General features: G+C 51.8%; 2 protein-coding genes across 5 annotated transcripts in view, besides 1 other annotated feature; one reads left to right on the forward strand and one right to left on the reverse strand.

Moving 5' to 3' along the window:
* DNASE1 (deoxyribonuclease 1) overlaps positions 1-6691 on the forward strand; it is a 53702-nt gene extending 47011 nt beyond the window's left edge. For both annotated transcript variants that reach the window (XM_024450170.2, NM_001387140.1), the window contains exon 12: positions 3876-6691. The gene's annotated coding sequence lies outside the window, so the exon portion shown is untranslated. The remainder of the gene's footprint in view (positions 1-3875) is intronic.
* The window catches only part of TRAP1 (TNF receptor associated protein 1), a 59488-nt gene that overhangs the window by 734 nt on the left and 45032 nt on the right, over positions 1-13722 (reverse strand). For all 3 annotated transcript variants that reach the window (NM_001272049.2, NM_016292.3, XM_011522345.3), the window contains 7 exons: positions 12952-13021; positions 7201-7348; positions 5504-5689; positions 4654-4792; positions 4112-4197; positions 3217-3362; positions 23-95 (listed from right to left, as the gene is read on the reverse strand). In NM_001272049.2, the coding sequence (NP_001258978.1) occupies positions 23-95; positions 3217-3362; positions 4112-4197; positions 4654-4792; positions 5504-5689; positions 7201-7348; positions 12952-13021 (848 nt within the window). The remainder of the gene's footprint in view (positions 1-22; positions 96-3216; positions 3363-4111; positions 4198-4653; positions 4793-5503; positions 5690-7200; positions 7349-12951; positions 13022-13722) is intronic.
* Positions 12866-13365: an enhancer, noted in NCBI's record as "H3K4me1 hESC enhancer chr16:3721637-3722136 (GRCh37/hg19 assembly coordinates)". NCBI's record gives its function as "activates a minimal SCP1, AML or CMV promoter by ChIP-STARR-seq in naive H9 embryonic stem cells {active_cell/tissue: H9 hESC(naive)}" and the evidence as "EXISTENCE:reporter gene assay evidence [ECO:0000049][PMID:30033119]".

The following is a 13722-nucleotide window of genomic DNA, read 5'->3' on the forward strand; positions in this document are numbered from 1 at the left end:
CATCCTAAGCTGCTGCACTCACCTGATCCACCAGCAGCTGAGCCAGGCCAGGCTCGCTTGCGCGCAGCTGATTCAGCTTCTTGATGAGCGCGTGCCTGCAACACAGAACCCACCAGAAAAAGCAGCTCAGTACCACGTGCTGTGACCCTCCCTTCATGTTTTGGGATTATCAGGATATTTAAAGAAGCACAGTAAGACTGTCTGTAGTTTTTTAAATAAGGTATGTTAATGATCATTTATAGATAATATCATTATATACCCAGAAAACCCAAGAGAATCAGGAGTGTCAGTATTAGAAAATGCTGTAAGGTAGCCAAACTCCAAGATTAATATACACTAAAGGGACAAAAGGAGCTTAGTACGTGAAGACATGCCTTGGTTCCTAGATAAATAATAAAAGAGAAGGGAGTAAGACCCACATGTTGAAACATATTATAGGGCTCTAGTAAATAAAACAGTTTAGGTCTGGAAAGGGGGAAGGCAAACAACTCCATGTAACGAGGGTGGACACTGAGTGTCTGATGAGGACAGTATTTCACAGAAGAGGGAGGAGACAGATCACTCCATCCAGCAGCACTGGGATGACTGGGAGCCATGCAGAAAACCATTTAGACCAGAGTAAATTCCAGAGGGATCAAAGATGACAAGCACAATTCTAGGGAAGAAATGTTTCATCATCTCAGAAGGGGAAAGCCTTTCCAAGCAAAACCACAAACCAAAAAGTAAAGAATGATTGACATATTTGACGTCAGAACAATATTTTTTTCTGCATAGGAAAAAGCATCATGTAGTATTTAACCTTAACATGAATATTATAATTTTTCACTTAGAAGTCTGATAAAACCGAGGGCTCTGGGGAACTGTAAATTTGTACAACCTCTCCAGAGGACAACTGGAGTCGGGAAAACCACATGTGGATGATATGCTGAGACTCAGCCATTCCATTTCCTAACTGCATCCCTTTAAACACTTTTTTTTTTAGATAGATAGATAGATAGATAGATAGATAGACTCTCACTCCTTCACCCAAGCTAGAGTGAAATGGCATGATCTTGGCTCACCGCAGCCTCCTGGTTTCAAGAGGTTCTCTTGCCTCAGCCTCCCAAGTAACTGGGATTACAGGCACCCACCACCACCCCCAGCTAGTTTTTGTATTTTTAGTAGAGATGAGGTCTCGAACTCCTGACCTCAAGTGATCCACCCGCCTAGGCCTCCCAAAATGTTGGGATTACAGGCGTGAGGCACCGCACCCAACCTAACAGAGGAAACACTTCAAATGCACATCCTCACATTTCTAGTCTACGTAGCTGGAAAAAAAGGACATTCTTAATATGCTAATGTGGAGGTCACCTAGTTACCCTAAGGGAGAAAAGCAAGGCAAGGACCCACTGCACAGCAAGTTCCCCCTTGGAAGCCCACGGGCGCAGCTGCCCACAAATGCACATAATCTCTGCAGAAATACAAAAGCCCTAATGCTGGCTGCACTGGGGACACAGGTAGGAGGAAATTTTCCCCTGTAAGCAGTTTTGAATTCTGAACTATGTGGACAGAACACCAAATTTTAAAACAAATGAAAGTGAAGCTGGCTGGGCACAGTGGCTCTCGCCTGTAATCCCACCACTTTGGGAGGCCAAGGCTGCAGTGAGCTCTGATGGCGCCACTGGTACACTCCAGCCTAGGTGACAGAGCAAGACCCTGTCTCCAAAAGTGAAGTGGCAACAGACAGAAACGAGCACTTCTGCAGCTATCTCACAAAACTAGTTTGCCACCAAAACTAGTTAAAGTGACCTGGTGTCCGCCTCACTGAGCTGCTCCAGCAGAGGCACAGGCATTCTGCATACTGGCGCTGCTGTGCACTGACAGCCATAAGCCAAGTCAGCCTTTCCCCAGGAGTGCCATGGCTAGGAAGATGCATCTCCCTCGCCTCCAGTATAATTTTAAAAGTTATGGTTGTAAAATGACAAAAGAAAAAAACTAGACATGTACTAAAGAACAAAACAAAAACTGGCTGGGGGTGGTAGCCCACACTTGTAATCCCAGCACTTCGGGAGGCTAAGGCAGGTGGATTGTTTGAGGCCAGGAGGTAGAAGTTGCAGTGAGCTGAGATTGCCCCACTGCACTCCAACCTGGGGGACAGAGTGAGACCCTGTCTCAAAAATTAAAATACTACTTAGGCTACATTGTGGGGGGGGTGGTAAGTCTATGGATTTTGATTTCCTTTTTGCTGTTTTCTATTTTTGGTAACATGTTTATGTAACTTCATTTTTTAAAAAATTGCTACATTCAAAATTTCCCCCAAAAAAGAAACTTCATATACAAGTTAGTTCATATACAAGTTAGAAAATGAAATTTTAAAATACCCCATAAGACACATCAAAGAATAATTCTTTAAAAATGGTACCAGAACCCTACAGAGAATGTAAGGTACCAAAGGATGTTAAAGACCTAAATAGATCACATTCATGGGTGCAAAGAAGTGATACTGTAAAAAGAAAGAAACTCAAAAGATACCTAAAGGCAGGTGAAAAGACATTTACAACAGATAAAGGGCATATAAAGAACAACAGGAAGAAACGAGGGAAATCTTACGGCTCAGCCACTGTCAGGGCTGGGGGGTTCTCGGTGCACCCTGGAAGCAGCTCCCACCACCGGGGCCACAGAGAAACCCACACAAGCCCCAGACACGTGGACAAGAATACTCAGAGCAGCCTGGCTCTCCACAACTTCTGACCAAGAACCACCGGAGGCCCAGCAGAGCAGAACGGAGCAGTCTGCTGTGCCGAGGTGGGTTTCTGCAGCGGACATTATTCGGCTATGAAAATGAACTTGTGGCAGCCCCTCTGCATGGGCAACCCTCATGCCAAGTGAGCAACGTGAGACTTCAGCAAACACCAAGATCCACGTACAAAGCTCAAAACAGGCAAAACTGAGCATGTCCAGGACACGCACAGGTGGCAAAGCCATAAAGCAAAACGAGGACATGGTCACAGGCTGGGATGTGGCTAACCTCCCAGGTGACACCTGGGGATGGTAAGGGGCTGGCCAGGTTCCATTTCACATGGGTGCAGCCTAAACTGCATACAGCTCCTTATAGTTACCCACATGTCCACAGGCCTCACGCACTTTTCTTCTGTGTCACATTCCACAACAAAAGAACACCACACACAGGATTCTGGGGAATCCCACAGGCTGGAAGAGCCAGGAGCGTGGCCTCACCTGGGGTTGATCTCCAGCGTGGGCTGCAGGAGCTGTGCGCGCTCCTCCTGGGTCTTGGCCAGCTGCTGCATGCGCAGGAAGTGGCGGGCAGCCCCCATCTCCAGCACGGTGACCATGGCAGGGTGGGTGTCCAGTCGGAGGGTCACCTGTGAGCAAAGCCCGGGGTTGAGGGTGATAGAGGTTCCCAATGTGAGAGGGCTGGCAGGATCTTACCAGGGGTGAAGGTCACCCAGACCACGAGGTAGCAGGCGGGGTCTCAAGGACTCCCCTGGACCAGCGCTGCTCCCTCCCCATTACCCACTAACTTGTGGGCCCTGAGCTGATGCCCCACGCAAAGATACTGTGCCCGAGGGGCTCCACCACCCTGGTGCCCCGCTGCTGCCTCCAGGAGCTGCCCGAATCCATCGTCCTCTGCTCCATGCCAGCCCACCCTGCATGAGGCCCCTTCCTCCAAGTGACCATGCATGGGACGCTCATTTCTCACTCTGAGCTAGACAGGTTGGTGGGGGGAGTCTTAGCTCTCTGAAGCCCACCCAAAACCCCCGACTAAGCACCCAAGTGAGCATGTGAGCTCCTGAGGGCTGGGGTAGCATGTCCCTTGTTTGGAACCCCCACGTCCTCAGCCATTGCAGCTCCCACTCAGGATGCTGGTTTTTCAGTTCTCAGTTCACACCTGCTCTGGAGCAGGGCTGGGAGAAAGACACGGCCTTCCTGCCTCAGCGGCACTCCCGAGCAACACGTGCCGAGCAGGGACCCACAGGGTCTCCACCTGACACCAAGGGCTTCTGCTGCTGCTGGAAGGACACCCAACGGGCCAGGTACTGGGAGCCACCAGCTGGCCAGCCTGTTAGGGACACTGCGGCCAAGTGGTGGTCCATCCCCGGGAAAGCCTCACCTTCACGTTGGTGACACGCGACCCCAGCACATTTCTCATCCAGGCCATGAGCTCCTCCGTCTCCTTCTCTGATAGGCACTCGGCGGCTGCGGAAGAGCAGGCGACAGGGAGCTCAGGCCTGCATCCCAACTCCCCGGCTTCCATGGGGGCCACGCAGCATGCTTCCAGCTCCCACCTCCTCTCCCACCAGGATGGAGACACAAGCTAGCAAGATGCTTTTCATCTAAAAGTAAAACCTCAAAGGATGCTTCAGGTTGCCTGAGGCCCATACAACTTGGTTAGGGCTTTAAAAAAATACACAGCCTCTCAAGAAGCTGGGCCAGCTCCAGAAGCCACCGTGGCAGGAGCACTGGACAGACCCCTGATATCTAAACCAGGAGGCACCTTCCTCCAGTCACCAGGGTGCTCCCACAAGGCTCTTCTCGGGGGTGGCTGAGCCCAGGTCAACTGACGAAAACCCAAAGGAAGCCCTCGCTGCGGGGCAGGAGAGGCGTGCGGGGAGTGGAAACCAGCCCCACGCCTAGAGAGCAGGGGATGCCGACCTGGGGACCTGTCCTCAAACTTCTCCTCCTTGTAGTGATCCACGACTATGTCCGTCTCCACAGAGATCAGCTTCTTCTTGTCAAACTCACGAAGGTGCAGCAGGGTGAGCTCATCAAACTGCTCAAAGCAGAAGAGAACCTGCAGGTGGCCAAGAGCAGCTCCATCAGACCCCGGGGGCCTCCAGCCACCACAGAAGAAAGGATGAGGGCGGCAGGAGGGCTGGGGGAGCCAAGCGGGCCACACTGGGGAACACCGGGGCAGTTGGGGTTCCTAGGCCTGCATGACAGTTACTACGACACCTGGGTCTAAGGAAGGCTCTGACTGCCTTCAAGGCAGAAGCACTCCACGCATAAAGAAATCCACATGTGGCTGAGTGCAGTGGCTCACGCCTGTAATCCCAGCACTTTGGGAGGCCAAAGCAGGCAGATCATGAGGTCAGGAGTTCGAGACCAACATGGTGAAATGCCGTCTCTATTAAAAATACAAAAATTTGCTGGGTGTGGTGGTGTGCACCTGTAGTCCCAGCTACTCAGGAGGCTGAGGCAGGAGAATGACCTGAACCCAGGAGGCGGAAGTTGCAGTGAGCCGAGATCGCACCACTGCACTCTAGCCTGGGCGAGAGAGCAAGACTCCATCTCAAAAAAACAAAAAACAAACAAAAAAAACCACATGTGACCTCCAAGTGGGAAACAGCCGTCACAGTCGGTCCGGCCTCTGTGCCCGTGACCCTGACCCACTGTGCAGCCCTGCCCGGAGTCTTGGGCAGGTTCACCCAGCACAGAGCTGAGAAGGTCAAGACCCTCCCCAGGTTGCAGCCCCCGGAGCCCGCCCCACCCACCGCTCACCCACCTCTGTGTCTTTCTTCTTCATGGCCTCATAGTAGGGTGAGTGCTCTGCCAGGTGACGGTTGGGGGCGCACAGGTAGTAGATGTTGCGGGTGCCGGCCCGCATGCGGCTGGCGTATTCTGAGAGGCTGGTTAGCTGCCCGGAGGGCAGCGCCGAGGACTCGTAGCGCAGCAGCTTTGCTATGTCCTCCTAGAAGGGACGGGGCAGGTCACCACTTATTCCAGGCCCATGGGCTCAATGTTGCCCAACTAACTGGGCGCAAACCCTCCGATGCCCATGGCCTCCTGGCACTCCAGGCTGGCCCTGACCCGAGGGACGGTAGTGGACTCGGGGGTTGTCCGAGAGCAGGCCTTGCTCTGCCCATCAGGCCCCTTTTGGGAGCTCTGGGGGCTTAGGAAGCACCTCCTGCCCCAGGTGGCCCAGGGGCTCTCCAGGGAGCTACGCGCACCACGCCCTGGGAGGGGACCCCACCCAACAGCAGAGCCCGGCCTGGACCCAGCGTCTTCCCTCTGCCCTCAGTGACAGAGTCAGTCTCTGGTGGGCACACGGACACGGGTGAAGTCCACGGTTCCCGGCCCTCCTCACAGCTGGCTATGGCAGAGACTGGCTTTGCCCAGTGGGTTTCAGTGGGATTTGGAGAAGGGCCCTTAGGGGAGGGGTTTGCCCTCCTCCCCATCAGCTGAACGCAGCTGTGACCTCTAGAGCTCATGGGAGCTGCAGCTGGAAGGACGCAGGGGGAAAACAGAAAGAGGGAAAAGCAAGGAGCTGGACACCCAACCAGCAGGGCCCAGGCCACCCCTGCACACATGGTGGGTCTGCATTGATAAGACATGTCACACGTGCACACCTACAAAGACCTAGAAATGTCTCTGACTCTTACCTGTGTGCTGTTAACTCAAATGAAGATAAAGGAGAATGAAGAGGCCTGTGTCAGAAGCTGCCGAAGTCGGCAAACAACCAGAACACGGCCTCCTTGGGACCCCACACACGTGGTCACCCTCCTCCTGCTGCTGGGGAGAAGGGACACCAGCACGGGATGGGCTCCTGGGATGAAATGTTCTGGGGTTACAGTGGAGGCAGCCACACCACACTGTGAATGCACTAAATGCCACTGAATTTTACGTGTTAAAAGGTGAATTCTGTGAATCTGATGCTATGTAAGTTGTATCTCAATAAAAAATGGACAAAAAATGTTTATGGAACAAATGTTTCGTTTTTCAGCCATCCACTATTGGATTAACTGAACGACTGGCCCCTGTAGCATAGTATTTGGAGACTGATATCCAGTACATGATGAATAGTCCCTCAACAGACACTGAGACCACCCACTTCCCCACCCACGGGATCGGAGTCCTTGGCTTGTCCCACCTGTCTGTGGCTCCCCAGCCCCCAACATCCTCTGAGGGGAGACAGTGTGTGCACGCCCTCTTCCTGCCACTCCCTGGGCTGCACCTTCACACAGCAGTGAGGCTGAGCCCTTCAGAGCACAGCACAGCACTGGTGGGAGGGTAAGGATGTGCCTGGAAGGTGCCAGAGGCCCAGAAGCCTGGCCTTCCATTTCCTGACCCTGGTGGCAGCAGCAGCAGCAGCCAGGGTACCCAGCTGCACCGTCGCCACATCAGGGGACACCTCCACCAGCTTCCTCAGCAGCCCCAGGGACAAGGTGGCCCAGAAAAAGGCCTGGAACACAGCTCCTATACCTTGACCTCCTGCTCGGTGGCGGTCACAATGCCCTCCCGCATGAACAGGCCGTAATCTTCAAAAAACTTTGCATACTTCTCAGCATCTTTTTTACTCTGGTCAATGAAGAATTTGATCAGCCTCTGCTGTAAAACGTCCCGGAGTTTCCTACAGAAAAGAAATGCATTTAATACATACAAGCAGCCTCTATGAAATACAAATGGCCAGAGGGTACGAAAAAATGTTCAGCCCCGCTAAGAATCAAAGAAGTGAAAACAACAAGGTACCGTTATTGGCCAAACTGAAAAAGACTGAGCAGAAAGACAGAAACCCTGGGCAGTGGCCGGACAGGAGGCAGCAGGGTGGAGGGCAGACACCCCCTGGAGGCAGTAGGAGAACCGATGCCCCCAGAGACAAGATACCCACGCCCGGAAAACCCTTCCAACCTTTGAGCCAGTTGTTCCAATTATAGGAACTGCACCTTAGGAAACATGTGAGCACACCAAGATTTATGTACCAGGATTTTCACTGTGGCACATAAAATATAACAATTATGAACAACCTCATGTTCAAGAATATAGGCTAAAATTATGTAATGCTAAATGGCCATAAAAAAAAAAAACTGCATCTTTTAATAATCCTCAATGACATGAGAAAGTTAGCTGTGTTGAAAGAAAACCCAGAAAAATCCCAATGTGGGTAAATTACAGTACGTCTATAGATACAGGCAAAGAATGCACATTCTACATGTACATAACAATTTTCCATCATTAGGAGCAGCACTGTATATACTATATATGTACACTGTAATTTGGGATTTATACTGAATATATGTATACTCTAATTTTTCAAAATTGGGATTTTAGGGATCAGGATATTTACTGCAGCATTACATAATGGCCTAAAATTAGGAACAACTTTATCACTGGGACTAGGGATATTTTTATTTTCTTCTTAATATTTAGTCTTTCCTTTAAGCAGGTAAATTACAATGTATTTCAATAATCCAGAGCATGGGAACAACACTCTCTCGAGTTCATTTAGAGCCTTTCCTCCCACACTCCATCCCCAGTGACTCAGTCCTTCAGCCACAGGGCAGAATGGGACAGGACATGCCTTCGTGCCTGGGAGCGGGGGGACAGTAGCCCAGGATGCGGTGCAGAGCCCAGGGAAGGTGTCTATGCAGGGCCATGGTTGGGAAGAGCCTGGTATGGGTGTCAGAGCCCAAGAACCCCAGAGAAGGGTGTCCAGGCTGGGGGCGTGACCAGCCCACCGTGAAGAGTCAGAGCCCAAGTAGGTGACAGGGACACCCGCAGAAGAGGGCAGTGGCAATGGTAGATTGGTTACATGGAGGGGGATTGGTCAAATGGGTAACCGTGCTAAGAATAATCAACGGGGCATGGTGGCTCCTGCCTGTAATCGCACCACTTTGGGAGGCTGAGGCGGGCGGATCACCAGAGGTCAGGAGTTTGAGACCAGCCTGGTCAACATGGTAAGCCCCCGTCTCTACTAAAAATACAAAAAATTACCAGGGCATGGTGGTGGGTGACTGTAGTCCCAGCTACTTGAAAGGCTGAGGCAGGAGAATCGCTTGAATCCGGGAGGCAGAGGTTTCGGTGAGCCAATACCTCGCCACTGCACTCCAGCCTGAGCAACAGAGTAAGACTCCATCTCAAAAATAAATAAATAAATAAATAAATAAAAATAAAAAAATTTTATTAATGATAGCAAGATTATAAACTCTTGAATAAAACAGGAAATCAGCCCATATAAATAAATTATAAATAGTATAAATATAACACATCAATTTTTTTTTTTTTTTCCATCCGACGAATCTTGCTCTTGTCCCCCAGGCTGGAGTGCAGTGGCGTGATCTCGGCTCACTGCAACCTCTGCCTCCCGGGTTCAAGCAATTCTCCTGCCTCAGCCTCCCAAGTAGCTGGGATTACAGGCACCTGCCACCATACCCGGCTGATTTTTTTTTTTTTTTTTTTTTTGAGATGAGTCTCGCTCTGTCGCCCAGGCTGGAGTGCAGTGGCGTGATTTTGGCGCACTGCAATCTCCACCTCCCAGGTTCAAGCAATTCTCTGCCTCAGCCTCCCGAGTGGCTGGGATTACACCTGCCTGCCACCACGACTGGCTAAAATTTTGTGTTTTTAGTAGAGATGGGGTTTCACCATCTTGGCAGGCTGGTAACTCCTGACCTCGTGATCCACCCGCCTCGGCCTCCCAAAGTGCTGGGATTACAGGAGTGAGCCATTGCGCCCAGCCTAATTTTTCTATTTTTTAAGTAGAGACGGGGTTTTACCATGTTGGCTAGGCTGGTCTCGAACTCCTGACCTCAGGTGATCTGCCTGCCTCGGCCTCCCAAAGTGCTGGGATTACAGGCGTGAGCCACCGCGCCCGGCCAACACATAAATATTTTAAGTAAATAAATGAATGTATTGAGAGTTTCATGAAGAATGTGACATTTACATAGCTTCAAAATACCTATAACATCTGTTAATTACAAAGGGAAGGACATCCTTGTTTGTTGGAAATGCACCCCAAAGGCATCGAGAAGGCAACTTCCTCTCACAGGATTCGAGGAAAAACATGTTCTTGGTACCATGCTTCCAACTTTTAAGCCTGTGATTCTTTCAAAAGCTCTAATTTCGGCTGACTCTTTTCTGATCGAGATGAGTTCTCAGACTGACAACGCAACCTTTGACAACCACAAGCTGGGATGAGGACCCCTGCTCTGCAGCTTCGGGCACTACCAGTGGGCCAGCATGCCTGCCACAGCCAGGAATGCAGCTCCCTTACTGAGCAGGACCACCCCTCTGTGACTCAGTTTCCACAACTATGAGTGAGGACTCACGGCTCCCCTCACAGGATGAAACACGTGTTTATGCAGGCTCAGCACAGTTCTCAGTGGAGAAGAAATACTCAGGAAACACATTCAGGATGGGGAGAGGAACGCAGCCGCCTCGGCCCGCAGGGACGCCAGGAGCTCCCTCTCCACAGGGCCTGGCCCCTGCCTCCACTTCATCCGTGAGCTTCCCAGATGAGGCCAGACGTGTCCTCAGTTCAGTGGGTGTCCTTTGCCTTATCCAGCCCAGGGACATTGTACCTGGAACCTCCCCTCCTGTGGCCACTCCTGGGCAGGGTGATGGGGATGGACAAGGTGGGGACAACTCCAGCACCAGCAATAATAATCCGGGAGTCAGCCCCAAGCCCTCTCTTCACTGAAGTGAACTGAAACATTGGGCAGATCACCAGTAACCCACAGGCGCACTCGAAGTGCACAGGGTCAGTACACCAAAGAGCACGACTCTAACGACCACAGAACAGTCGCTGCTGTGGGGCGGGGATGCATCCTGTTGAGGTCAGCACAACTGCTGCCCTGTGGTCATGTCGGCAGCAAGTCGGGGTCCTGCTGTCAGAAGCCAGCACGGCTGTGTGGGGAAACAAGCACTGAGGCCCCCTTTTCATTGATTATATAACATCTCTTTAGTCAGCAAGGAAAATACCTTTTATATAGTTATATCTTCCGACCAAGTAACCCCACCCCTAGTATTCTATCCTAAGGAAATACAGCTGCAGGTAAAGATTTCAGAACAGGCCAGGCGCGGTGGCTCACACCTGTAATCCCAGAACTTTGGGAGGCCGAGGCAGGCAGATCACAAGGTCAGGAGATCAAGACCATCCCGGCTAACACAGTGAAACCCTGTCTCTACTAAATATACAAAAAATTAGCTGGGCGTGGTGGTGGGTGCCTGTATCCCAGCTACTCGGGAGGCTGAGACAGGAGAATGGCATGAACCCGGGAGGCGGAGCTTGCAGTGAGCCGAGATCGTGCCACTGCACTCCAGCCTGGGCAACAGACCAAGACTCCGTCTCAAAAAAAAAAAAAAAAAAAAAAAAAAAAGATTTCAGAACAAAGATAAACATGCACTGCAGTGTCATAACTGCAGAAACACTGAGACAGCCCAGCTGTGCAGCCCCGAGGGACGGGATCAGTAAACTATGGTACATCCCTGTGATGTCCCATGATGTAGCAATTAAAAGTGCTTCCAAAAAACAACATGGGAAGTGGTGCAAATAAACTAGGTAGAAAAAAGGAAACAGTATAAGCAATATGAATTCAATTGCATGAAAAACAAAAACAGGCCGGGCGCAGTGGCTCAAACCCGTAATCCCAGCACTTTGGGAGGCCAAGGCAGGCGGATCACGAAGTCAGGAGATCGAGACCATCCTGGCTAACACGGTGAAACCCTGTCTCTACTAAAGATATAAAAAATCAGCCGGGCATGGTGGCAGGCACCTGTAGTCCCAGCTGAGACGGGAGGCTGAGACAGGAGAATGGCGTGAACCTAGGAGGCGAAGGTTGCAGTGAGCCGAGACTGCGCCACTGCACTCCAGCCTGGGCGACAGAGCAAGACTCCGTCTCAAAAAAAAAAAAAAAAAAAAAAAAAAAAATCTAAGTGGCCAGGTGCAGTGGCTCATGCCTGGAATCCCAGCACTTTGGGAGGCTGAGGCCAAAGGATCGCTTGAGCCCAGGAGTTCAAGATCAGCCTGGGCAACATAGTGAGATCCCAACTCTACAAAAAAATACAAAAAAATTAGCCAGGCATGGTAGCTCACACTTGTAGTCCCAGCTACTTGGGAGGCTGAGGTGGAAGGATTGCTTGAGCCCAAGAGGTTGAGGCTGCAGTGAGCTGTGATCACACCACTGCATTCCAACCTGGACAACAAGAAAGACCCTATCAGTCAACCAATAAAACATCACTGCGGCTTGCTTGGTTGAAAAAAGAAAAAAATCTCCATGGCTTTCTGCCTCTGAAGGTGAGGCAGGAGGATATCACCGGCAGGCCATGTGACCTCGCAGGGCTGGGCATGGACCCACCAGGCAGGAAACCACACTGCCCACCATCTCCCCAGACCTGCTCCTGCCCGCGGCACAGGACAGAATCTCTGAGGACCAGTGCCTCTCGGTGTGGGCCTCTCGCCATGCCCACAGCGCAGCCCCAACACACACCAATTACCCAGACTCATCCTTTTTCCGAGGATCTGCTTCCATTTCAACACTGGAGAGAAACCGGTGGGCAGAGAAACACTGCAGGCACGTTGGGGGCTCCAACAAGGCCCGTTCCATGGCATGCTGCACGTGGTGGGCTCTTGAGAGACCTCCAGGGCTCCAAATTCCAGCTGAATCCTCACCCCACAGGCTCCCTCTGAAACCTGCCCTATGTGGCTGCCAATCTACCCCACCCTAAACCATCAACAGCAGTCATCTCTAGGTGAGAGCACAGGTCACTTGAATGTGCTCTAGTAAGGAAATACTACTTGCATTAGGGGAAAAAAAGCCAGTAAGCGAGGTTTTGAATAAAGACTATTTGGTGAGCCTGGGGCCAGAGTGGGGAAGTGATAGCTACTGATGGAGAACCTGGAGCCAGCACACTGGAGTCCCCTCCACACAGGGCTGGCCTGCTGCAGGGCTGCAGTCACAACCCTGGGGCACAGGTGGGCAGGTCTGGCTCTGCGGCCCCTCCCCCTATCCAGACTCCAGCCTCAGCCATGACCAGCCACCCCCACCTTCTTCTGGACCACAAGCTTCAGAGGCCAGGCCAGCACCTGGAAGGCTCCTGAGGGCCCCCATGTGCAGGCCGGGCTTCCCCGACCACCTCTGCTCTCAGCTCCATGGGCCACGGCTAGGGCCCTCTGGGGGCAAAGGAGCAGGTAGGGGCCTTGTCCCCAGCAGGGTCCTCTCCCCGCGGCCCGAGGCTCACCTGATGAGTGCGCTCTCCTGCAGCAGCTCCCGGCTGAGGTTCAGGGGAATGTCCTCACTGTCCACCACACCTGGGAGACACGGCAGTCAGCTTCTCCCGGGGCTGCGGCCCTCCACACCACCCAACATTCCCCATTAACCTGCCCTTTGTCTTCAGGCCTGGCCTTCAACCCAGCACGTGTGCTAAGAGGGAAGCAGGGAGGCGGCACTGCCGGAGCTTCCTCTACGTCCTGCCACCTCCCAGAACAGTGACCTGGGCTGTGGGTGGCCGGGACAGCCTCGGGGTAACACTCGGAAAATGACAGCCTGGGCTTTATGTTAAAAATCACAACTCTGGCTGGGCACAGTGTCTGACGCCTGTAATCCCAGCGCTTTGGGAGGCCGAGGTGGGCGGATCATGAGGTCAGGAGTTCGAGACCAGCCCGGCAATTATGGTGAAACCCCATCTCTACTAAAAATACAAAAATTAGCCGGGTGTGGTGGCGGGCGCCTGTAATCCCAGCTACTCGGGAGGCTAAGGCAGGAGAATCACTTAAGGAGGTTGCAGTGAGCCACGATTGCACCACCGCACTCCAGCCTGGGTGACAGAGCAAGACTCGTCTCAAAAAACAAACAAACAAAACTCTATCAGGGATGGTTCGCACCTCTGTGTACCAAGGCTTAAATACTGAAGTCTTTCTTAAACTATAATCTCACTCAAACGTAACACAACTCACATATCAATCTGAAACTCAGTATCCCTACATATGGAAAGACCTCAATCTGAACACCC

This window comes from Homo sapiens, chromosome 16 (genome assembly GCF_000001405.40).
Source record: "Homo sapiens chromosome 16, GRCh38.p14 Primary Assembly".
In the NCBI taxonomy this organism is placed as follows: domain Eukaryota; kingdom Metazoa; phylum Chordata; class Mammalia; order Primates; family Hominidae; genus Homo; species Homo sapiens.